The 26,500-nt window shown below is 51.0% G+C and overlaps 3 annotated features.

Moving 5' to 3' along the window:
- Positions 6,215 to 6,748: an enhancer, noted in NCBI's record as "H3K4me1 hESC enhancer chr14:95511279-95511812 (GRCh37/hg19 assembly coordinates)". NCBI's record gives its function as "activates a minimal SCP1, AML or CMV promoter by ChIP-STARR-seq in naive and primed H9 embryonic stem cells {active_cell/tissue: H9 hESC(naive and primed)}" and the evidence as "EXISTENCE:reporter gene assay evidence [ECO:0000049][PMID:30033119]".
- Positions 6,749 to 7,283: an enhancer, noted in NCBI's record as "H3K4me1 hESC enhancer chr14:95511813-95512347 (GRCh37/hg19 assembly coordinates)". NCBI's record gives its function as "activates a minimal SCP1, AML or CMV promoter by ChIP-STARR-seq in naive and primed H9 embryonic stem cells {active_cell/tissue: H9 hESC(naive and primed)}" and the evidence as "EXISTENCE:reporter gene assay evidence [ECO:0000049][PMID:30033119]".
- Positions 17,440 to 17,940: an enhancer, noted in NCBI's record as "H3K4me1 hESC enhancer chr14:95522504-95523004 (GRCh37/hg19 assembly coordinates)". NCBI's record gives its function as "activates a minimal SCP1, AML or CMV promoter by ChIP-STARR-seq in naive and primed H9 embryonic stem cells {active_cell/tissue: H9 hESC(naive and primed)}" and the evidence as "EXISTENCE:reporter gene assay evidence [ECO:0000049][PMID:30033119]".

A 26,500-nucleotide genomic window follows, 5' to 3' on the forward strand; every position in this document is an offset into this window, starting at 1 on the left:
CTAGCCAGGAGGACACACACAAGCCAGGTGCCAGCAAGTGGAGCTACCGTGGGGATCAACAAGTTCCACAAAATGCCCCCTTGTTAAACATGCAAGACCAGCCATGCCACCCAAGGTTACGCTAGGGCTAAGGGGCTCAAGGACAGAGCTGTGACCTGATTTAGGGAAGTGCCTGCCTGCCCCTGCCTTGTCCCCTGGGACTGGTCAGCGTCCCAGAATGGGAAATGGGTCCTCACTCATCCCAAAGAGGAAGCCTGGGGGAAGAGCATCTCTCGGGTTATGGCCCCAGGATCCCCGTGCCAATTTCCACTACCACTTTCCTAAGCCGAAATCCCCCCCTTTTCCACTGGGGGTTTCAGCCTCTGCCCAAAAGACCAGCTCCAGCCTAAATCCCCTAAATCCCACCCCCTAACCCCCGAACTGCAGACTCATCTTTTGCTTCTCTTTAAGCAGCACCTACCATGCTCCTGGGCTCCTCGTTTACAGGAGGGGGAAAAAAATCAAGCAACCATTCTAGGAAAGGGGTTTGGTCCACCTGGGCCAGGGTTCTAGAAGCCTGTGGCCTCCAGATGCTTTAGGAACAAGGAGTACGCATGGAGTAGGGCCAGGGGGACATTGCCCATGAGGGACGTGGGGGTCAGGATATGTGGCAGGGCATCGAGAGGGTAGAGGGATGCTGGTGGCGGGGGAATGGTGTCCAGAGACCACCCCACCCGGCATCCACGTTGAACTGCTTCTCATAGCCCCGGGCCTGCACCCTCCAGGTGGGAGTGACGGAGAGAATGTGCAGACATTGTGCTGTCAGTTGGTCTGATCATCCTGCCTGGCTCAAAACCCAAAAGGACTTGGGGCAGCATGAAAAGACACATAAAATGCAATATGAAAATGACAGGACGAAACCAGGGGAAACAAGGGCAGGAGGAACAAGTTGAAGCACGCCAACAATCATGAGGCAAGGCCCCCAAAACCCTGGTCCTGGGGGATCAGGCTTGGAATAGTCAAGCAGCCAACGTGTCTCAAAAGTCACTCCCCTAAGAACCACAGCATGGAAAACAGATGGGAATGGGCTGCTCCGGCCCTGGCTCCCCTCCCCCATGGCTGCTTGGCAAGAGTCCCACTGCTTGGGTACTCACAGGACATACGGCCAGGCACCAACCAGCGTCCTTATACCATCCCAAGAACCACGTCCAGGGTCACTTCCCTGTCCTGTGAGACCCCCTGCACTGGACATCGGGCACGTGCTGCCTCCTTTAATTCTCTTCATCCCATGAGATGAGCCCTGTGGTCATTCCCACGTCCCAGAGAAGGACACAAACAGTGACAGCCCAAGACTCAGACCCACACCTGGCACTACCATCCTATCATATCATCTCTCACCTCTCCGAAGGGCTGCCCTTGGGCAAAGGGAGGGACAGGTCCAGTGTATCCCCAACCCTAGATCGGAGACCTGGAGGGCCAGCATTACAGGCAGCTATGCTCACACATTGGACCCACCCACAGATGCACCGGTGTCCTTGGCAGGTGGTGAGTTGCTTGTCACCCAGGGTGTCCAACACTCCTGACCTGGAGCAGCACAGGGAAGGGGAGGCCAGAAGGCCAGATGGCTCCCACCTACCCTGAAACCCGTGCTTTCACAGCCCAGAGAACTCCCACTCCCGCCTGCCCACTCCTGTGCTCTGCGCTAGTGTTGAACTGAGTGTGGAGTCATGTTTTGTCAGCCACCAGCCAATCTCTGACAACACCTAGACCCGGCACCATTCATTAAAACACAGCAATGACTATTCACTATAAGGGGAAAGGGTGGGAGGGAATCAGTTTCCTTTGACTACTTACTTGCCTTACAGTGGACATCTTTCTTTTATATCCTTTCCATACTCTACGAGTTATTGACGTGAATTCTTTCTCATTTAGTGGTTTGCGTTGTCAGAGGGTAAAATCTGATGTGTAGCAAATGTCTCTGAGTTCACCAGTAATAACCCCTCAAGAGACCATGCTGAGGAAGTTATATGCTACCAAATAATAAAATATCCCCATCTACTTTCAGAAGCTTTGGACAGCAAAGAGAGACCGCCAGGACTCGGAAAACCTTCAGACAGATTCTGTCTGGCTTGTCCAGCCTTATTCACAGTGACTCCATACATCACAGAAGGGGTTGGCAGGGCAGGGAAGCCAGGCACAGCCAGATTTCCTCCATGTAAAATCCCATCAACTGAAAGATTTAACAACAGTGTTTGGAAGGGGGAGGGGGCGAGCAAAAAAACTCCACAATGCCAAACATACACGAAGATGGAAGACGTATCTGCACCAGCAAAATGGTAAAAAGTGGAGGGAAGAGAAAGAACACCCATTTGTATGAAGAAAATATGGCAGATTCCTGCCCCTTGAGACCTGCAAAGTCATCATTTCCAGCCCTCTCTCTGGGGTCATGCTTTTTAAAGCTCCAAAGATCAACATGTAGTATGAATCACCCACTCTAAAAAAGAAAGAATACTCCAGTTCCAACAAATCTAAGGGCCCTGGACAGCTAGCTCAGCACGAACCACAGTGCTCCGGGCTAGACACAATCCAGTCTGTCCTCTGAGCCCCCTGCACTGCCACCCACCTCACAGAGCATCCCCATAGCCATCCAGCACTGTCCACATGTCCCTGGATGAGAGGACTCTCAAGGAAAGGCAGGAAATTAACAAGCCTACAGGGAGCACAGGCCCCGTGTCAGCACTTTGCCAGACGGTGTCATGACAAGACTGAATGAGACCCAATCCCTGCCCTCAGTGAGAGGAGATGAAAAGACGATTGTAACTTGCTGAGTGCCTTTGTACCAGCCACTGAGCTGGGTGTCATGTATGTGATGTCCCATTTGATCCTGGCATCAGCTGCACTGAATAATGATTATCCCCATTCTACAAATGGGGAAATAAAGGCTGGGTGAAACTAAGTTACTGCTCCAAGCACGGGCAGCCAATAAATGGTGGAGCCAGAATATGAACTCTGCCCTCTCTCCAGGGCCCGTCCATGCTACTTCTGCCACCCCAGGCACCCCTTTCCCCACAACCCAGAGAGACATCAGCAGGCACTGGACAAGTACTCCACTCTCACACACACCCCAGCCCTCAGCACTCCCACCACATACTGCCCACACACTTCCACCTCCTGGACGCCAACCCCTCCAACATGTCCAATCTGTCCACTTCTCTTAATTTCCACTGATGAGATCTTAGACAGGCCCCCATGGTCATGGTCATAGGAGACCACCATGACCTCCAAATAGCTCTGAGCTTCCATTCTCACCCACGAAGGTCACGTCTCCACACAACAGTCAGTTCAGTCTTTGTAAAACCCAAACCTGAAAATGCCGCCCCTCTGTTAAAAATGCTCTAATGGATTCTTCTTGCCCTGGAGAAAAAATGTTCCTCCTAGGACCCGAATGATCTGCTCACCTCTCTGGCTGTCCTCGCCTTGGACCACTGAATAGCCTCGACATTTCTGCCTTCTGTTCATTCTTTCAATCCGTGCGCCTTTGTCCAACCTCAGAGCCCTCACACATGCTGTTCCTGGAATACCATTCCCCTCCACGAGTCAATGACACTTCATCTTCTTCCCTTCCTTGGACAAGGCTGCAGCAATCATCCCATCCAAAGTTTCATTCTCTCCCAGAACCCTGCTCTTTTTCCTTAAAGTTATATATGTTTTCCTGTTTATTTATTAAATATCTGTCCCCTCCACTAAGACATAAGCTCAAAGACATCTAGAACTGGATCTGTTTTGCTCACCGTTGTGTTGTTCATGGTGCAGCATTGATGCAAAATAAATATCTTGAGTGAATGCATGAATTAATGAATAGGAACAGCATTGCTACTCACCGTGGTGTTTCCTCTGCTAACTAGCTAGGAGTCGTTCCTTATCCCTGTGTCTCAGGCAGCCACTCCCAAATCAATGGAGCTGACAAGTTTGATGTAATTCAGGTCAAACAAACTGGTATATCTATACCGTGGACTACTACTCAATAAGAAGGAACAAACTATTGATGCATCCAACAGTTTGGACGAATGTCAAGGGAATTATGCTAAGTGAAAAAAGCCACTCTCAAAAGGTTACATACCGCATGACTCCGTTTATATAACATAGTCAAAATGACCAGATCACAGAGATGGAGAGGAGATAATTAGGCCTGTGGGGGCAGGTGTGACTGTAAAAGGAACACAGTAGGGAGTGTTCTTCTCATGACAGAACATTCTGTATCTTGATTGTGATGCTGGTTACATGACTCTATAGGTGGGATAAAATGCCATAGAGCCATACACAAAGACATACAGAAAAATAAAACCACATGAATGTGCATAATAACTGGTGAAATCCAAGTACAGTGTGTAGTCTGGTTAATTACATTGTGAAGAATGATGTCTGGTTTTGATGAAGCACTAGAGTTATATAAGATGTGTGAAGGGTGCACATGACACTTTGTACTGTTTTTGCAATTTCTTGTGAGTCTATAATTATTTCAAAAGAGACAGAAAAAGAAAAGGAAGATGGAATCCATGTGCCACCTCAGGGTCAGACTCTCTGTCCCCATCTGCCCTACTTCATGAGTTCCCATGAGTTCCCAGGCAATTTCTGCTCCTCCCACTGCAGTGCCCCTCAGTACCTGCCCCAGATGGCTACTTCTCAGCCAGGACACCTACAAATGACACAGAGCCATGGACCAGTCCCACTGTTCCCATGGACAGAAGAGACGGGTACCCACGGCCACACCTCTGTGGTGTGGTTGGGTAATGCACACGTACAAGTTAGGCACCCACGCCTGGTGCCTCATTTTGCACCAGATTCTGAGGGAGGGTCCAGTACGTTTTCATGTATCAGCCTCTAACCAGTTGTTACACCCAGGCTGGGGCCCTCTCTCTACATCTTAAAGGAGGCATTGGCAGAGATGGCCAGATGAGAAGCCCACGCTGGAAATCTTCTGTACACTCATCCTCATAAACCCAGAGATGGGCAATCTTTAATTGAACCAAAGAGGCCAAACCTTTCATCTATCAACTGTGCCGTTGGCCACAGGCAGAAAAGATGCTGGTTTTAGTTAAGAGTAGAAACTGTGCCAATGATCGCTGTATTAGACCTAAGATAGATGCACGAGGAAGCCTGCTGGGGTTTGTGGCTTGAGGATGAGATGGCAAGTCTGGTTTGAGCTCAGTCCAGACTCTGGTAGGAAAAAGCAAGAAAAAGAAAACAATTTCCAACTTGCGGCCACACAGCAAGCAGCAACTGCGTTTACTCCAAGACGAGACTGCAAGCGCAGTGTTGTCTTAACCCTTGGCTAGACCCTGTGCCTTGACTGTCCGCACAGGCAAAAGGCTGGCAGAGACCAGCGAGTGTCTCAGGTGAACTGGGTAACTGGATTGGCCTGGTATAGAGGAATGTGCCCTGGATGAGAGACCATGGGATACTAGTCTTGGCTCTGCCCCCTGATTCACCGTATGCCCTGAGCGAGACCCTTTCCTTCTCTGGGTCTCAGTTTCCCCGTTTTCAAAGTGCACTGACTTCTGAGGTATTCGTCCGATGTAAATGTTTACCCAACCAGGATTCTTCAGCCACAGCCCTGTGGGCACTGTGGGCACTTTGCGCCTGGGGAATCTCTGATGGGGGCCGCCCCGGGCACTGTGAGACAACTAGCAGCATCCCTGACCTCTACCCACTGGTGGATGAGCAGTGTCTCTCCCCATCCCACAGTGTGATTACCAAAAAAGATCTCCAGATACAGCCAAATGTCCCCTGGGGGGTAAAATTGCCCTGCCCTAGACTCACGGACCCTCCAGCCAAGGAGGAGGGAGGAGGCCCTGAGGACTCCTGCCTGCCGGAGGAAGCCATACACCTTCCCCCGAGACTCTGGCCCCCAGCTCTTCTCTGGCTCCCAGCTCTGCTCTGGCCCCTCCTACGACAGGGGCCCCCTCCAGGACAGCACTCTTTATTCCAAATCTCTCAAGTTCCCTTTGGATTGAGCTGCAGCGTTCTTCACTGTTTGAAACCATCTAGAACCAGCCTAGGCTCTCCCTGTGTCCCAGGCCACTGGCTCTCTGAAGACAACCCTTATCTTCTCCACTGCGCCCCTGGGGGAGGGCAGGTGCATGCCACTGGGAGGAGGGCGGGATCGGGGAAGCAGGGCACCCACAGGCTCTGGGAAGGGGAGGCCTCCCCACAACTCCCTGCCTTGCGGCAGGTTCTGCTGCCTCCTGCTGAGTTCATGCCGGTGGGCTCAGCGTCCTCACCTGCCGGTTGCCTGCCCCGCCCTCCACACATGCTGTGAGGCCCCAGAAATAAGAAGCCGAAAACACTGTACAAACAGTCCGATCCCTTCAGGGCGGTTCTTCTCCCCGGGCTTTGGATTGCACCTAAAATCCCCTGATCCAGAATAAGAAGTAGGCAACCCAGGAAGTCCTTTATCTGCAGGAAGCAGCCCATATCAGAGGGGTCCTTCGTGAGCCCAAGGCCCTGTCCCTGCCCATGCCTGGCATTCACTGTCATCCGGCAGGGAGCATCCACTGTGTCCTTTCATCTCGGTGATTCTCCGTCTTCCCCGTCAGGTCAGTGCTAGTCCCATGAGGCAAGCTCCTTGCCTTGTTCACACTGTCTCCCCAGCACCCTGACAACATGTCCCCTGAGAGACGTGTAGTACCCTTTTGTGACAAGAGTACACAAAACAGAACTCCTTGTGGCAAACAAGGAATCCGCCTTTCACCACGGGGAGTGGTCCAGGGGAAGCAACAAAGTTAGAACAAAGGCCCCATGGTGTGTGGCTTGGAGAAGCCCAGTGGGCTGTGTCCTGAGGATCGGGGTCAAACAGAGCAGCCATTCGGAGTCCTGATGATGTGGGCTCGCCACACATCATCAGGGGGCAGGAGGAGGAGACGGATCAATGCTAATGGCAGCAGTGAACCTGGGGGCACCCAGCCTCTCTTCCTGAGACGTGCTGATGTATTTATCAACTGCTATGACCACGTAAATTAATGTTAGTCAATACAGAAATACGAATTCGAAAGATATTTAGTTTGTTCTAATGTGTGTGGTATAGAAACTAGGTGATATTAACTGTAGTGGAAATGGCTCAGGAAACCCTTTTAGCAATTACCCAGTGGAGGGCTGTTTTCAGCAATTGTTGGGTGATCCTTCGACATGGCTGTTCCTAACTGATGCTCCTCTCTGAGCCATGATTTGACAGGAATCCCCAACTCTTCCAGCGGCCTGCCCTGTGAGAGCCACAAGGACCTGGGCCCCACCCCTGTGCTGTGGCCAGCAGGTGGATGGCAGCACTGCTCCTGCCCACCTGGACACACGTGCGAGGCCGTCTGACTCCCCTCATACCCCTGACCCCATCCCTACTGCTGCCCCACACTCCAGCCCCAGCCCCCCTGCCTATGCTGCCTCCCGGCCTCTGCCTCGGCCCTTCTTTCTGCCTGGAGTCCTCTTTCCTCGAGTGTTTACGTGAATGGGGCCCCCAGCTTTTCTGGGTTTTCTGCGCAGGTCTGTTCAACCTTCCCTGGCCACCCTTTCTAAAACCTTAGCACCTCCACTGCGGACACCCCATCCCTCTCCTCGGCCCTATCTTCTCCTTAGTGCTTATTCCAGCTGCATCCCACAGACTGAGTGAGTGAGTGAAGAACGCAGGCCGGGAGACTCCTTTGGGGACCCCAAAGGGACTCCGTGGAGTGCCCCCGGCCCCCAGGAGAACGCTGTTCTCCAAGAACTCTTAAGTCCACCGTAAGGAAAATGTAACAGGATTTTAAAAGGCAAGGGGAAAGACGCAGGAAGGGAGCTTTCCTGAGTGCTGGAATTTTCTACTATTTCAGCCATTTTTCACAAGAACCTATGAGACAGGTGTTTTCACTCCCACACCAGAGAGGTGAAAAACCAAGCCCTGGAGAGCTTAAGCTCAAGGTCCCCGGCTCCTTAACGCAGAGCCAGGGCAACCTCAGGTGCGCCCCACTCTGAAGTCCTGCCGTCTCTCAGACCCAGCCTCCACATCTAGGAAGCAGCAAAAGCGCAGAACAGAAGCCAAACTATCCCAGGGTGTGAGCCTTCTTCTCATCCGTGTCCCACCCAGTGGTCCCAAAGGTCCAGATCTCAGAGCTCTGGAGAGCAGGGACCTGATACTCTGAGGCTGCGGGGCCTGTGTCCCCCACCGACAGGAGCCAAAGGCCCATGCCCTGCCTGGGTTCCACACCCCCGGCCTGGGTTCCACCCCCGAAGCTGTCCGCTCCCATCAGGACGGGGCCTCTGACGTACAAAACCCAGGCCCTGCCTTGGACTGGTTTCGGGTTTCTACAACACAGTAAATCAGCGTGTTTTTATTTCTCCATCTGTAAACATCTCTCCATCTAATACGGTAACTGCTGTTTATACAGAGCTATAAAAACAGAGGTCAGAGCACAGTAAGATTATAGTCTTACTTCAATACATCCAATCCATAATAAAATACAATCTCACAAACGATCCAGAGGACCCGTTTAGGGGTTCCTTAAGAATTCATGTCTGTCATATGTAAGGATTCTATTCTATAATATTTTCCACAGCTGTCAGGACCCATTTAAAAGGCAATATCCTTTTGCTGGCATTTGATTTAGGCTCTGTTTATACCACGTGGAGGATTGTTAATTCTGCGATGTCTGACTCAGGGGTGTTTGATTACATGGAGGCCACCACCAACAGGGTGACACATGATGTAGTGTGAGACCGGGGAGCGGGGCTGCAGCCAGGCCCCTGTCCTGATGAGGTGCGTCTGCAGGGATGGGACTCAGCGGCGGGGAAATGAGACGCTCTGTTTTCCAGGCAGCCTGGGCTGGTGGCAGGAAGAGCTCTGGCGAGAGATGAATAGGACTTGGCCCAGCCATGCGCTCGGTGACGGGCGTGAGAGTTCATTTGCTGCTTGAAGATTTAGTTCCCAATTAATAAGTGGAGAGCCAGCCTGGTGCCTCAGGAGGTGTTCCGGGCTGAACTGTGTCCGCCACCCCCGCCCCAGCCCCCACCTTCTCCAAAAAGTCTATGTTAGGGTCCTAACCTCGGCACCTCCAAATGTGACTGTGTTTGGGGATGGGGCCTTCAAAGAGGTGATTAAAGTAAAATGAGCTCATACGGTCGGGTCATAATCCAATCTGACTGGTGTCCTTCTAAGAGGAGATTAAGACACAGACACGCGCAGAGGGAAGACCACGTGAAGATGGGGGAAGACAGCTGTCTGCAAGTCAAAGAGAGAGGCCTCAGAGGAAACCAGCCCTGCTGACACCTTGGTCTTGGACTTCTAGCTCCTGTATTGTGAGAAACACATTTCTGTTGTTTAAGTGCCCTAGTCTAGGATGCTTGGTGCTGACAGCCCTGGATAACTAACACTAAAGGGTCTTGGGCGGTTCCAGGATCCATGGACACTGCTCAGCCTTGTTTGACTATGTTTTTGTCATTAGAAGCAGCGCTGTCTGCGGGAAGGTGCCTTTCCTGCCCAGACTACTGAAGGAGACTGCCAGTACAAGAGGCTTTCACTCCCCTTGAGGGTGAAACCTTTGACCCTGCTGTCTTCCCTCCCTTGATGATCTCATTCCATCCCACACCCACTGAGGACCCCGAAATGTTTTACCCCAGCCCAGCCCTCTCCCCCAGCCTCAGAGCAAACATCCCACTGCTTGCTTCACAGGCCTTCCTGCGTGCCTACAAGTCCTTCCCACCCAGGGTGGCCAAAACCCCAATCCCGAGCACCCTGCAAACCTCCTCCCTTTAGTGGCTGTCACCATTTCAGAAATGGCACATTTCATTGCTTGGGCCAAATACCTGGAAGTTCTCCCACACTCCTCTCTTTCCACCACAACCACTCCCAGTTCATTGGCACCACCATCCCGTCAGCTCCCCTTCACCACATGTCCAGAATCCAGCCACTTTCTGCCCCCTCCAAGGCACCATCCTCATACAGCCATCATCATCTGCCACCTCCTAACCCCTCACTGGACTGTGATGCTTTCCTGTTGCTGCTATAACAAGTTAGCACAAACTTGGTGGCTTAGAACAGCACACATGTATTCTCTTACGGCTCTGGCGGTCAGCAGTCCAGCATGGGTCTCCCGGGTCTGTATGTAGGGTGTCGGTAGGGCTGGTTCCTTCTGGAGGCTCCGAGGGAAATCCATTCCCTTGCTTCCTCCAGCTTCTAGAGGCTGCCCACACTTGTGGCTCCTGGCCCCTTCTTCCACCGGCAAAGCCTACTGCGTGCACCCTCCTCCTGGGTTGTCAAATCCTTTCCATGGACTCTGCTTCCACTCCGGGCCCCTCTGCAATGTCTTCACCACTCACCTGCCTGCATGCTCCTTTTAAAATGCAAATCAGGTCTGGTCCCAATGGAGAGAGCCTCCTGGTGGCCTAAAGACCCCTGGTGCTCTAACCCCTGAGAGCTGTCACCTCTCCTGCCATTCACTCCTCAAAAACCCACTTCTCCTCACACTGGCCTTCCAGTTCTTTCTGGAACATGCCAAACATGCTCCACCCCGAGGGCCTTTCCCTTACTGTCCCTCTGCACACTTTCCCCAGAAACTAGTTCCCTGCAGGAGTCTGCCGAAAAGCCCCTTAGTCAGAGAGTTCCTCCCTGACCACACCACCTAAATTACAACCCAATCCTCCATCTGCAGCTCCCTCCATCTCTCCATCCTCTTCCATTGCTGCATTTTTCTGCATGGCATTTATCATTGTCTGATGTATACTTATTTGCTGATATTCTGTCTTCCCCACAAGGATGTAAGCTCTGTGGGAACAAGATGTGGTCCATCTTTTTCCCACTGCGTCCCCAGCTCTGGCTGGCACAGGGGGACATATACACATAGATGTGGTTGAATAGGCAGATGTGCATTTTGATTGATCAGTGGTTGAGGTTGAGACCTGAAAAAAGTCATTCCTGTGGTTCTTGAACCAGAAAATGTTTGAGTTAGAAGGCACTTCAGGATTGCCTTGTCCCACATAATCCATACAGGAGCTCCCTTGGGGTTCCGCCCAGCAGAGGGTCCATCTGCCCCCAGGTTCAAGAGCTGAGCTTCCCCCACTGCTCTAGGATGCCCTAGAAGGCATCTCATCTTTTGAGTTCTTGGATTCCAGTGAAGAGTCTGATATAGATTGGGTTGCATAGATGGATGGATGAGGATGTAGAAGGATATATTGGTGAAAGTAAAATAAAATGGATGGATGGATGGATGGATGGATGGATGGAAAAATGGATGGGTAAATGGATGAATAGATGAAAGAAAAATGAGTGTATGGATGGAAGGAAGAAAGAAAAGATGATGAATAGATGGATAGGTGGATAGAAAATGAATAGATAGGTGGAAAAATGGAAGGAAAAGGGAAGGAAGGAAAGAAAAGGGAAGGAAGGAAGAAAAATGGATGGATGGATGGAAGGATAGATGGAAGGGAGGATGGAATAAAGGAAGGAAGAAAAGATGATGGACAGATGGATGAGTGAAAACAGATAAATGGGTGGAAGGAAAATGGATGGAAGGAAGAAGGAAGGGAAGGAAGGAAGGAAAGAAGAAGGAAGGAAGGAAGGAAAGAAGAAGGAAGGAAGGAAGGAAAGAGAGAGGGAAGGAGGGAGGGAAGAAAGAAAATGTAGATGGGGGCAGATGGATGGATGAAAATCAGTGACATGGAGCTCATCCCATTCCAAGGCAGCCTGTGGTCACTGGAGGGAACTGGCAGACAAAAAGCCCTTCTTGGAGCTGCACTGATATGCATTTCCCTGTATTACAGAATTAGTTTGCCCAAGAACTTCCTTCTTTTCTTTTTCCATAGGTTTGCAGGCAGGAGAAAAGAGTGACAAAGTTTTTTCTTCCTCCTCTGTTCTATGCTCCCCGCTGATACCTCTGGTAGAGCATTCACCTACTGGGCTGTAGCCTGTTGGGTGCATTTTCCCCCTAATACCACAGGCTCTCAATTTCCAGCACAAAGCTCAGGACACCAGGAAACATCTGGTGATGGAAGGCTGAGGTCATAAAGGACAGCAATATCCCAGCCCACAGCAGGGTCCCCACACCTGCTGTACTGCATTCACTCGGTAGTGACTCCATTTCAAAAGGGGCCTCTCATGGGGTGGCCATGAGGAGCTGGAGCTTGTGAGCCCCTTAAAATGAAGGCAAAGTCATATACTTCACGTCTGCCCATTGCAAGAGTTCATCAAGAAAGACAGCACTGGTGTGTATTAAAAAACCACAATGTATTAAGTACCCGGCTCATATTTTCAACCATTTAACTCCCAGAACAAACCAGCATCACCACCCCCATTCTGTGGATAGGGGAAATGGAAGCTAAGTTGAAACTGGTTTGCCCACAGCCACATAACTAGTTCATGGTGGAGCAAGACTTGAACCCAGGTCTCCTGCCTGGCTCTGTCTCTGCACCTCCACAGCTGAAGGAATGAGAGGTGAGCCGCCAGCAGTTATGTGCAGAAGGGGCTGATAGCAGGACAACGTGGGCCATTACCAGGCTCTCATTTCCCCTTCATTCCTCTGGAAGTCACTGAATAGACAAGGCAGGGAGGGCTCCGACGACTACCTGGCACATGGAGGGTCCTGCACAGAGGGGAACTAAGGCGCATAGCAGAGAAACGGCTTGGCCATGGTCACAAATAAGAATGTGGCAGAAGTGGCCTGCTTGTAGGTGTCCTGTCCCCTTGACGTCGCCCTGTTTTGCTGTTCTGCTCCTACCTTCACTGGAGCCCATTTCACCCCTCCCAGCTCCCTGGCTGAGCCCCTCCTAGGCTACACTGTGTGCCCAGAGGGGTTGATTTGAGTCAGCCTCAAGCTGCACAATCCTGGGTGCTTCCTACTGACATTCACTCCTGGGAAGCCGGATTAGTCAGGGGTCTCCAGAGAGCAGAGAACAGAACCAATAGGAGGTGTGTGTGAGTGTGTGTGTGTGTGTGTGTGTGTGTGTGTGTGTGTGTGTAAAGAGATTTATTCTAAGAAATTGGCTCACATGATTATGGAGACTGGCAAATCCAAAATCTGCAGTGTAGACTGGCATCCTGGAGACCCAGGAAGAGCTGGTGTTCAAGGCCCAGTTCAAGGCCATGGGCCGCAGAATCCCTTCTTGCTCTAAGGTTGGTTTTTTGTCCTATGCGGGCCAGCAACCAATTGGATGAGGCCCACGCATGGGATGGAGTACAGACCGCTTTATTTAAGGTCCACCCATTTAAATGTCAGTGCCATTCAAAAACACCCCCACAGAAACCTTTAGAATAATATTTGACCATATCCCTATCTGGGCACTGCGGCCCATTTAAGCTGACACGTGAGATTAACCGTCACAGAAGGTAAAACACCCATCCCACAAGGAGCTCCTGGGATCCTCACAAACACAGGGCTCCACCCCTCGCCAGCCCTAGGGAACCTTGGACAAGTCACCTCATGTGTCTTCACTGTGCCCTCCACTGACGATGGGACTAAGAGTCCCCCACCTTGAGGCTGGGCCAAGGATCAAACAGGACGGTGCCCTTTATTACTCAGCAGAGTTGCTGGCATGCGGCGGTGACCAGGAGATGAGACTCAACAGCATCGTGCCCCTTAGGCTGCCACGCAGAGGGCCTGCCTGCCACCCCCCAGGCCCCGCCTTTCAGCTGCTGGTGGTCCTCTCTGCGTCTGTCACCTGTGGCTGATTCTTGAGCTCCATCCCCCGCCCTCCTCCTCGTCGGAAGCAGGCTGGCTGCAGCCTACCCTCTCTACTCACTCTCCAATACTCCCACCACTGGCTTCTGATTCAGCTCAGCCCTGGGGAAGTGTTTGTGTTAAGCTACCCCTTGTGTTGAAGACACCCCTTCCTGGCACCTGCCCACATGGTCCACATGGCCACCAGCACAGCCCCCTGGGGGCTGCTTTCCCCTACCCCTCACCACACAGGCACAGAGACACACATATGCACACCCACACATACACACAAGCACACAGGCCAGGATCAGCAGCTCTCCCGATGTGTAAAGAACATGTGGGGTGTGTAAAACCCCTTTTTGTCTCCATGGTGACAAAAGGGCTGCACCTCTTGGAGGACCTCCCTCCTGGACCAAAAGCAGTCACGCATCACTTAACGATGGGGCTACATCCTGAGAAATTCATTATTAGGCAATTCCATTGTGTGAACATCATAAAGAAGACTTACACTCTACGTAGCTGACTATATGCCTCGGCTATACGGTCTAGCCTATTGCATTGGGCAACATGCTACCATACTAAATACCGTAGGTGATAGTAATGCAATGGTGAGTATTTATGTATCTATCTCAAAACACAGAAAAGGTACAGTAAAAATATAGTCTAAAAGATAGAAAATGGTCCACCTAAGGCACTTACCAGGAACGGAGCTTGCGGGACTGGACGTTGCTCTCGCTGAGTCCGTGAGTGAATGAGTGGTGAGTGACTGGGAAGGCCTAGGACTTACTGCTCACTGCTGTAGCCTTTATCAGCACTGGACACTTATGATACGCTAACTATATCAAAAATATTTTCCTTTCTTCAATACTCTATTAATCTTAGTGTACTGTAACATTTTTACTTTATAAACTTTTACTTTTTAAAAACTTTTTTACTCTTTTGTAACAATACTTAGCTGAAAAGACAAACACATTGTACAGCTGTAAAAACTATTTTCTTTCTTTATATCCTTATTCCATAAGTTTTTTCTATTTTTAAAATTTCTAATATTTTTTTTTTGCTTTTTAAACTTTTGTGTTAAAAACTAAGACACAAACACACATATTAGCCTAGGCCTACACAGGGTCAGGATCATCAGTATCACCGCCTTCCACCTCCACATCTTGTTCCACTGGAAGGTCTTCAGGGACAGTAACATGCAAAGAGTTGTCTTCTCCTCTGACAACAGTGCCTTCTTCTGGGTACTTCCTGAAGACCTGCCTGAGGCTGATTTACAGTTAACTTTTTTAATAAGTAGAAGGAGTACACTCCAAGGCCAGGCGTGGTGGCTTATGCCTGTAATCCCAGCACTTTGGGAGGCCAAGGCGGGTGGATCACCTGAAGTCAGGAGTTCGAGACATGGTGAAACCCCATCTCTACTAAAAATTAAAAAAATTAGCTGGCTGTGGTGGTGGGCACCTGTAATCCCAGCTACTCTGGAGGCTGAGGCAGGAGAATCACCTGAACCCGGGAGGCAGAGGTTGCAGTGAGCCAAGATCCCGCCACTGCACTCCAGCCTGGGTGACAAGAGCAAAACTCCCTCTCAAAAAAAAATAAAAATAAAAATAAAAAAGAGTATACTCTAAAATAAGAATAAAAAGTATAGTGTAGTAAACATATAAACCAGTAGCATAGTCATTTATTATCATTATCGAGTATTATATACAGTCTCTAATCACACTTGCTAGACTTTTATACCACTGGGAGCCCAGGAGGTCGCCTGACACCAGCATTGCCGCAGACATGTGAGTAATGCTTCGTGTTACAATGTCACTAGGCCATAGGAAGTTTTCAGCTCCACGATAACCTCAGGAGATTGCTGTCATATATTCAGTACGTTGTTACCAAAATGTAATTATTGGATGCCTGAATGTAGTTCTAAAAATTATATAAGTTTGTTCAAAAATTGTTTACAGACACCTCCCCTGAGCCAGACACCGCGTGCATTCTAACCATACAGAGACAAAAAGAGAAAGATGCGGCGTTTTCTTCGTGGCCTCCTGATGATACTTGCAGAGACTGCGCCGGCTGAGGGGCTACATGGATGCCTGACACAGACCCGGGTCATCCCAGGCCAGGGCCTGGACAGGCGGGGCTCGCTCCTTCATTCCTGAGGGCTCACACTGAGCCCCTGAGTGTATAGGGGGCTTGGCGGTCATTGTCCTGGCCATGAGCTGCCCCTTGGACAGGCCCGAGGACTGTCCTGCCCTATCCCAACTTTGCTAGAGCCCCAGCTTCAGGCATGGTTGGTCAGTGACCCTGGGAATGCTTCTCCACGGACAGAGGAGTGGCTCCCTCCCTCTGAACGCAGCAGGACCCTAACTCCATGTCATCTGTCACCAAGCACATGTGAGGGCTCCTCTGTGCCAGGCCCAGGGACACTAAGAGGTGTCACCATGGCCCTGCCCTCAGGGAGAAGGATGAGAAACAAACCCACCCAGCAGATCTACCCTCCCAGGCTAGAGACTGCGTCAGTGCATTGGATCAAATGTACTCACCCTCCACCTCCACACCCTGTGGGGTGTCTCCTCCAAGACTGAGGCTCACAGATGCCTCCCAGCAAGCCCAGCTCTTACCTCCCAACCAATCACTCTTCTCCACCGGAGCACCAGGCCGAGGACCAGCTGGCATTTGGAGCTGCCTTTAGCAAAAAGATGTGTATAATCCCAGGAGTGCATGGGGCTGTCACTTCAGGAAGTTCCTGAGACCGAGGTCTGTGAGAGCGACAGTGGCCTCTCGGCTGCTGTTTCCCACTCAGCCCTAGGCATCGCCCCTGGCACCTGCAGAGAGGGAGAGAGGAATCCCCTACAGTATTTAAATTGGCTTTTAATCTCATTTTTCGCTGATCGTACATAGCTGAATGTGAGTGTAAAATAATGACCAGAGAGTGCAATGACACTGTAAGTCCCCAAATCCCTGTTCAGAGGGCTGTGTTCTGTGATGTGGGCTGCAGTTCCGTATGGGTCTATATGGGTCTACCATCTATTCTGTGATGTTTTGTGTATGAATGTGCACGCCAAGGGCTTCAGCCGTGCAGCTACGCCATGAGGGCTGCATTATACAAAATATCTAACCGCACAGAACAAGGTGACAAGGACAGCCATGGAGGCCACTGCCCACTGAGTGTGAGGATGGCCATGACACTAATCTCCTCAGAGTCTGTACAAGGAGCAGGTGATGGGAGGCCACCTCCACGGCCCATCCCAGCGCTATCACTCCTGTATACATGAAATGGCACAGGAAGGCTTCATGGCAGAGCCCATGGCTGATCCCAGCCTTTAGTTAGGGCCTCAGAGATGCACCATGATAGGTACGAGCCCAGGCGCTGACATCAGACAGACCTGGTTTCTAATCCTGGCTCTGCTCCTTACAGGCTGTTTGAGCTTGGAAGAATCAGTTACCCTCTCTGGGCCTCATTACTTTCATCTGCAAAGCAGAACAGATGACAATCACAGTGACCACACAGGGAGGGGTGAGGGTGAAAACTAATCACACAAGTAAAGGACTTACTGGTGGCCTGGTGCAGTGGCTCATGCCTGTAATCCCGGCACTTTGGGAGGCCAAGGCAGGCAAATCACATGAGGTCAGGAGTTTGAGACCAGCCTGGCCAACATGGTGAAACCCTGTCTCTACTAAAAATACAAAAATTAGTATGGCATAGTGGCAGGCACCTGTAATCCCAGCTACTCAGGAGGCTGAAGCAGGATAATTGCTTGAACCCAAGAGGCAGAAGTTGCAGTGAGCCAAGATCACACCATTGCACTCCAGCCTGGGCAACAAAGCGAGACTCCCTCTCAAAGAAAAGAAAAGAGAAAAGAAAAGAACATACTGGCAACTGCCTGGCACATAATAAGTGCTTCCTACATTGCTTATTTTATTGGTGTTGTTGAAACGTGTTCCCAGGGTGCGTGTGTGCAGCACCCATCTCTAGCAATCGGCCAGCCGCAGGCCTGAGCGGCACACAGCAGCATTTTGCCTGTGAAAACATTTTGGTGCAATTTTCTGACCCGCAAAAATATTTTTACGGTGGAAATGCATGTCTGGCTTGGAACTGCTCAGTCTCACTGGCTTGTTTAGCGTCTCAGGAAAATAAACAAAGGTGAATTTGTGGACACTAGGGGATGGACTCAAATCAAACAATGTGCCACTCGTCAGACCCCAGCGTACCCCCCTCCGCCCCACCCATCAGGGCAGCAGAACCTCAGACCAGGTCACCTGACCCAGCAGACTAAATAACCTCCTGGCGTCGCCTGGGAGGCCACTGAGCGCAGAGCCTCACAGCCTGGAGAGCCGCCAGCGCCCCAGGGCACTCATCCACCTTTCATTTCTCAGAGCAGGTGACAAAAGCCAGGGTGGAAAGGCAACCTACTCAAATCACACGGCAAGACTCTGTGGGCATATTTGTTAGTTTGTTTAGATGTGTCTAATATAATTTACTGAGCACATGCTAATTGTCTGAGGAAGCCAGTGCCATCCCTTTTTACCAGAGAAAAATGTGGTTTGGGGAGGTCACCTGGCATGCCCCAGGTCATGGTACACAGGGGCTGGGGCCTCCAGCTTCCTTCCTTCCCTCTGCAGCTGGGAAGCCTGTGCCCTGTTTTCCAATCAGCTGACTTTGTCCAGAGAGATGGTAGGAAATTAAAGAACAAGCAGAAGTCTTGACAAAAAAAAACAGGGTTCCCAGCATCATCATTTAGTAAGTGTGCAGCCATGGACAGCCCAGGAAGGGTCTCTGAAATCCACAGTCATCCTCTAAAGTGACAGGTCCATGTGGTGGAATACTACGCAGCAACAAACAGGAACCAACTATGAGCACACACACTGCAACCTGGCTGACTCTCACACACATCACATGGAGGGAAGGATGCCAGGCAGAGAAGCACTCTCCGGGCACATCCATTTATGTGAAGTTCAAGAGCAGACAAAACTCCTGGGGTGATGAAGGCCAGAACAGGGATTGCGTCTGGGGCGGGCTAGGGGCTGAAAGGATGCACGAGAAACAGCCCACCTCGTGGTGTCGGGGGTGGTAATCTGGGGTCTACACAGGCAAAAATTCACCCGGCTGCACCCCCAGAGATCCATGCTGTTTAATAATTGTAAACCAGGCCTCCACACAAATAATGACAATAAAATAAAACAATCATGACAAAAGTGCCTGCTTCACAGAGGTGAATTACGCCGTGGTAAGAAGGCAGCGCAACACTTCTTTTGTTGTTGTCTTGATCAGCATTTTGAAGTCACACATTCTGCCCCTTCACTTCCAGACTGACTGAATGACTAGGTAGATTCATTCGTAGCTCAGTCATGTATTCATTTATTTATTCACTCAGCACACCTGTGGGGCTCCAAAGACGGAACTCAGTGCAGGCACTGACACGATCTGGCAGGCATTGCAGCAAAACCTTCCTGGCCCTGGCGGGGATGGTGGAGGGGGAGGGAGGGGACAGGAGAGGAGGCCAGTCCAGCCGGGAAGAGATTAGAAGGCAAGGTCTTGGGTCTTCAGCTGGTTCCTGGCAAGTCCCTCCGATTAGATCATTCACCGCAAGAGTCCTACCAGAAGCTCTCCTGCTCACTATTTGACCACCTGAGATGCTCAGCGAGGTCTGCTCATGGCAGAGGCAGCCATGGAAACCACGGCCCTCACTTCTTCCCAGCCACAGGTGTCTCTCATGTGCCTCCAGGTGTGGACATTTGGAGGGACCCAGAAGGTCATCGTGGAGAGAAAGCTGGGCCTGGCCCAAGGCCACTCGTGCAGCCCACTGGGCTGGATCCACGTGGATAGACCCAGAATTAAAACACAAATGAGCAAACAAAAAACAGGCAAGAGTTCCCCTTTTGTACAAAACGTCAGTCCTGCTACTTTTCTTTCTCATTAACAGAACGATGTAGCAGCAAGTGTGCTAAGTGCTGGGACCTGGTGAGGAAGACACGACTGGCCCCTGCCTTCATGGCCTGTGATGTTGGGAGGTGGGCAGGGAGTTCCCGATAACTGCACAGTGCCAAACTCACGGTCACTGCTGTGAGCAGCGCCAAGAGGAAAAATCATGCACGGATGTAGGTGTCAGGGAGGCCTGGCCTCGTCTGCCAGTGCAGGGAGACCTCCAAGAGGAGCAGGCATTTCAAGGATGAGGCAGCATCAACCAGATGGCAGGAGGGGGTTGGGGAAAGTGCATAAGCAGAGGAAGCTGCATGTCAAAGGTGCTGAGCAGAGGCACGGATGAACAAGATGAGGCTGTGGTCCGGGGCGCGGGGCTGGTGCAGAGAAACTCGAGATGAGGCCAGACCCACTCAGGCCAGGCCCCGAGGCCTCAGCAAGGATCTGGGTCCTTGTGTGAGCAGTGGGGACAGGCTCAGAGGGCTCTGAGGGTTAAGCAGGAGCCCGGTTTGGTGAGAATTAGAGGTCTTACCACCTCATTCTGGCCTCCAGGTAGAGAGTGGCTTCGAGGAAGCAGGCAGGAGAATTCCAGAACCAGTAAGAGTCATCCAGGCAAGAGGGAGGAGGGTGTAAGCATGGGCTGGACAGAGACTGGGTTTCAGCCATCCTACTGTTGCCAGAGGGCTTAAGCGGGTCTCCAGACACTGGTGAGACACTCCAATCTCAGCTGGTGTCCATGTTCTTGACATTGTCACAAGAAAGAATTCAGGGATGAATCAGAATGAAGGGACAGGCAAGAAGCTTTTCTTGCAAAGCGAAAGTACACACATAAGACAGAAATGTTAACGTACTCATGAGAACTCATCAGGCACGAAGGAGTTGGGGTTTCTAATTTTATGGGCTTTTCTTATTAGGGGGTAGAATCATCATGAGGTTTTCTAGGAAAAAAAAAAACAGAGGTTTCTTAGAATCGTGGTGCCATCCATTTTTATACTAAATATGGGCATGCTGGGGATCTGTCAGGGTGCTGAGGGAGGCAGGTGTATGGTAATGAGCATGTCATTTGGTTTGGGGTGGGGCTCGGTTGAGACTCAGCCGGTCTCACCCAGCTCAGCACGCTCCTGTTTGTTAGGGTCTTATCAGCCCAGATTCCTCCCCGTCCTTGTAGCTCCTTTCTTTCTGTTCTGTGAAATTGCTGCCTGATATTTTCACACTTCTCCTGAGACCATCCAGTGTTGATTCCTATTTTGTGGTTGATTCTTTGGTTAAAGGGTGGGTAATGGGCCGGGTGCAGTGGCTCCTGCCTGTAATTCCAGAACTTTGGGAGGCAGATCACCTGAGGTCAGGAGTTCGAGACCAGCCTGGCCAACATGGCGAAACCCTGTCTCTACTAAAAACACAAAAAATGGCCAAGTGTGGTGGTGGGCACCTGTAATCCCAGTTACTCGGTAGGCTGAAGCAGGAGAATTGGTTGAACCCAGGAGGCAGAGGTTGCAGTGAGCTGAGATCGTGCCATTGCACTCCAGCCTGGGTGACAAGAGTGAAACTCCATCTCAAAAAAAAGAAAAAAAAAGGTGGATAATCATCATTAGATTATCGTTAAGTATTGTGGATAAGGAGGGGATTTCAGGGACCCCCAGTTCCCGGTTACTGCCGCCTTTCTCCCTTATTTGGGTTTGCCCGGGAGAGTCACAGACGTGTCACTTTTACCGGGATTTGGGCTGTTTTCTCTCCTTTATTTTGGGTTTTCTGATATCCTGTGGTTTCTTTCCCAAGGTATTGTTTTAGCTGTTGTTTGGGTTTTTCCATCCTCCTGCCACCACCCCATGCTATTCCCTTCTCACTAGCAGGTGTAATCCCCTGGGACTTGTTTCCCAGGCAGAGGTGGAGGGTCCAGAGAGAGATTCAGGATGATGCCCAAACTTCCACATGAAACATCTGAGTGAGGATGTTTGGGGGCCTCTCAAGTGCAAAATGTCCTCTTCTGTTATCAACACAGAACACTAGCATTTGCAGAACCTGTTTGGTGTGGTCACCCTAGCCGCTGTTGAAATCCGGGCTAAACCCAGGAGTGTTGGAGAAGGGAGTCCAGATCCCTTGCTCCCTTCCCCACCCAGCCAGCGCTTCTCCGACGGAACGTGAATGCAAGTCACCTGGGCATCTTGGTAAAATGTAGGCTGTCATTATGTAGGTCTGGGGTGGGCCCTAAAAGCTGCAGTCTAACAGCTGATGCTATTAATCCTAGACCACACTTTGAGTAGCAAGGGGTTATGCAAATGCTTCCCCTGTACCAAGTCAGAGACCACCCCAAGTTTCCAACCCATGGTAGAACCAGGAGTGTAGTCAGTATCGCCAGTTTTCCCCCAGCCCATCCCACCCTCAAAGGCAGAAGTTCTGCTTCTCTCTCTCAATCCTGTCCTCAGCTGTCCCCAGGAGTCCTGTGAGGTTGTCATTGGCATGCTTGTGACCATGTCTCCTGCCCACCTGCTCCAGGGCCCCAGGGTTTGAAGACATTAAGACTCCTGAGGCCTTCAAGGCCACCCTAAAGGAGTTCCTGGGCCCTGCTACAGTGAAGCTCAGCTGGTGGGCTCTGAGGGGCATCCAGGCAGACAGACCCAAGTGACATGAGGCACATGAGGGTCTGGACCAGGAGAGCCCTGGGCGGGAGGCGCTCCATGAACAGATCCTAGCAGAGGCCCTGGAGGTGGAGGACATTTGTTTCCTAGAGCTGCTATGTAAACAAACAAACAAACGAAACACAAAATGAGTGGCTTAAAATAATAGAAATCTACTCTCTCACAATTCCAGAGGCTAGAAGTCCAGAATCAGGGCGTCAGCAGGGCATGCTGTCTCTGGAGGCTAGAGAAAGAATCTTTCCTTGCTTCTTCCAGTTGCTGGCAATCCATGGCAATTATTGGCCAATGGCAGCCTCGCTCCAGTCTCTGTCTCTGTCTCCCCATAGCCTCTCCTCTCTGTGTGCCTCTCTGTCTTCACACAGCCTCTTATGGCGACCCCAGACACTGGGTTTAGGGCCCACCTTAACCCACTATGACCTCGTCTTAGTTTGACTACATCTGCAATGGCCCTATTTCCAAATGTGGCCACATTCACAGGTGCCCGGGGCCAGGACTTCAGCATATCTTTCAAGGAGACACCACCAAGCCACAACAGTGGAGGAACCCAAAGCAAGGAGGGGCCGGGAGCCTCCCACACTGCTCAGACAGGCGGCCCACTCACAAGCACATCACCTGCCGGCCCTCGACATCTGCGGACTAGCTAGAGGACTGCCCTCTGCTCCACCTCTCAGGGCCATCCAGAAGTGAACCCCTTGCCTGTAAATTCTGGCCCATTGGCTATAAACTGTTTGTAAGGTTTTAAATAAACACTTACAGCCCTTCTGAAGTCTGGTGACTCAACACTCACTCGGGGCTTTGGCAATTGTCAGCAAACTCCACAGCCTCAGACCCCGAAAACAAACCAAAGGGCAGAGCCACCCACAGAGGCCTGCGAGGAGGGTTCCCATGGCGACAGCCCAAACCAAGGTCCCTCCTAGCACCCTGCCAGGGCCAAACCAGCTGTGGGGATGTGGGGATGCAACTGAGGAAGGTGGGGAGGGGCACGTTCCTCTTCTGGCTGAGACGCTACCTGGAGGGTGGGAACTCAGCATCCTTCCCTTGCCAGCCTCAGTTTCCCATGTTGTTCAAAGAGGTCCAGTTCAGGCCTGTAATGGGATGGTTCAGTGAGAAGATTTTCATCCCCTCAGGTGGGCTGGGCCTGGAGACGAGCCCTTCTGTTTGCCATGATGGAAGTCATGGGACCTCAGTTTCCCTATCAAAAAGACAGATGGCTGATTTATCCCGTGTCACATCTGGCCGATATTCCTTTACAGCCCAGGTCATAAGGTGGCCACCTGTGCGAAAAATTAAGACCCCAGATGGGGTTAGTTGGGCTACCAAAGGGTGGGTTTTAAATGCTTCAAAAATAGTAGCCTGTATTTTAAAATGGGGAAATTGCATATGAAAAATCTGGATCTCAAGCTTTCCAAGAAAAATCGCATCTGGCAGCATGGGGCCGACATAGCCTTCTGGGCTGGGTTTGGCACCTGCTTCTCGGTGGGCACGTGCCAGGCCCCCTTCCCCAGGTTCCTTGGGCCCGAAAACCAGCCCTGCTCAACTTTGCCCCTCTGCTGCTGTTTCTTTATCACCAGACACTGATGTGGATCTTTATCAAGTAGGAAAGCAAGAGCTCAGTTTAAAAAGCAGAGAGTTTCTTTTCTTTTCTATTTTTTTTTTGTTTGTTTGTTTGTTTTGTTTTTTTGAGATGGAGTTTCACTCTCGTGGCCCAGGCTGCAGTGCAATGGCACGATCTCAGCTCACTGCAACCTCCGCCTCCTGGGTTTGAGCGATTATCCTGCCTCAGCCTCCTGAGTAGCTGGGATTACAGGCACCCGCCACCATGCCTGGCTTATTTTTTTGTATTTTTAGTAGAGATGGGGTTTTGCCATGTTGGCCAGGCTGGTCTCAAACTCCTGACCTCAGGTGATCCATCCGCCTCAGCATCCCAAAATGCTGGGATTACAGGTGTGAGCCACCACACTCGGCCAAAAAGCAGAGAGTTTCTAAAAGACTGGTGAGACGGGAAGAATGGCCTAGATATTTTATGGACACATAAGACTTCTCATCAGCCACCCAGCCAGCCTAGCATCAGTATGGAGACCTCCTAGGTTACAGTCCACCCACTGCTTTCCCCAGTGTCATGCTTCTGGAAGCTTCCACCAAAGTGCACCGATCAAAGTGGCCATTTGCTAGAGATTCAAGCACAGGCTCCAGGCTCCTCTAGGAGTGGGAACCCCAGACTGCACTCTCTCACTGTGAGGCCTCGGGCAAGTTGCTTAACCTTCCTAAGCCTCAGCTTCCTCATCTATAAACAGCACCTATGCATAGGAGAATGAGAGAGTGAAGTGAAGACAACGAATGAAAAACGATTCCCATGCTGATTGGCAGCTATTTGTGTTGTTACGGTTGTTTTTCTATTGCTGCTGTTGCTAGATGGCTTATGTCTCAGTGGTATTCTCCCACATGCAGACTCTGAGACCAGAATTCAGTGCAGATATTTTATGTGTGGAGGAGGCAGGATTCCAGGAAATACCAGTAGAGGAGTGGGAAAGTGAGACAAAGAAGGCAAAGCAGCCGGGAAGTCACAGCCACTGTGTTGTCATTACCTCTGTGACAACTCACATCCAATTGTGCTGGAGAGCTCCAGCCAACAAAGCAGTCACAAGTCAGAGTTCTCCATGCACCCCAGCCTACTAGCAAGGGAGCTGTGGTATTGATACGCCCACTCCCAGCGCTCAGTGGGTGAAGGCTGCTGCCAGAAGTTGTTCATCTCCTGGGGCTTTCTCTTCTGCAGCAGAGAAAGCCCTCAAACGCAGAAAGGATGCTTCCAAGTTTGGAAGCTGGGTGGTGAGTCCTGAAGTGTTCAGGGTGCGGAGATCTGGACAGGGTACCAAGAACGCCTGCTAGACTCATGCTTGTCTTTTACATGGATGCAAAATTTGCATTCGATTCCATCATATCCCCATGCTGGGTGTAATATAAAAATATATTGGTCTCCCCCTCCCCACCAAGAATGGAGGAAAGCTGGTATTATAGAAATGGCTATGCTTGCCCTGCATCTCCTATACTCCCTGGCATGCTTGCTGGACACAAACACACCTGAGAAAGCCATGACCCAGTGTGGAAAAACGGGGTGTACCTTATCTCATTTGAACCCCCTGTCACTCTTGTGCACTTGGCATGCATTATCCCCATTTCACAGGTAAGAAAACTGAGGCCTAGGGTGTTCAGTAATTTGTTCACACTAGTAAGGAGGTGAAACCCACCAGACAATGGCCCTTTAGCAGCAAAGACCCCATGGAGCCCAGGCTGTTCAGTGGATCCCCTAGAATCCTGTTCAGGGAAATAGCCCCGTGAGATCAAGGGTCTCCTGGGAGGGAGGAGTAGTGAAAGCTGACTTAGGTCTTAGAAAGACCCCTCTGGGGTCTTCCCTGCACAGGGAAGGGATCCAAACAGACTGAGCAGGCACAGGAGAGCGGCAGGACTCAGCTTCATAATCCAGGGAGACAGGCGGCTGTCTGGGCGCGAGTTCTGGCTGGGCTGAGGAGGAGGAGGGCCAGACCAAGGCCTGTGATGGAGGAGGAATTGGCCAGGCCTGGGGATCCTTGGGTAAGGAGTAAGGAAATGATTAGGAAGGTGACAGGCATGACTCCCAGTTTCCAGCTTGGGCAACTGGGAAGATGGTGGGGCCCTTTAATCCAGGAAGCAAGAGGAGGAGGAGGCGTGGCTGTGGAGGGGCTGCAAGACGATCAGTTCTCAATGAATTGATGTTGGAGGACTCCACGGGGAGATGTTCAGGACAGACATAGGGGTCTGGAAATGAGAGAAATGTCTCCATCCTGGAAACTTGTATCTGAGGATCCACTGAGTAATTAAGGCCATAGGAGTAGAAGATGTCACCAGAGAGAAGAAGGGAGGGGAGGGGAGGAGAGGAATGCCCAGGACAGAGCCTGGGGAGCCTCCTCAACCAGGGCCAGGCAAAGGATGTCTCCATGTGGGAGCCTATGCTGGGGTCCAGAGGCCCAGGGAGAACCCAAAGGAAGGAGGATGTGGCCGCCAAGAGCAGAGTGTTAGGCTCCTGGAGTCTCCCTGGGGCCAGCATACAGTGGTTGCTCTAAAAAGATTTTAGCCAGTCATGTTGGCATGTGTCTGTGGCCCCAGCTACTCAGGAGGCTGAGGTGGGAGGATCGCTTGATCCCAGGAGAGAAAGGTTGCAGTGAGCTGTGATCGCAGCACTGCACTTCAGCTTGGGCAACAGAGCCAGACCCTGTCTCAAAAATAAATAAATAAAATAAAATAAAAATAAAACTTTCTTGGTT

The sequence above is a fragment of the Homo sapiens genome, chromosome 14, assembly GCF_000001405.40.
Source record: "Homo sapiens chromosome 14, GRCh38.p14 Primary Assembly".
In the NCBI taxonomy this organism is placed as follows: Eukaryota; Metazoa; Chordata; class Mammalia; order Primates; family Hominidae; genus Homo; species Homo sapiens.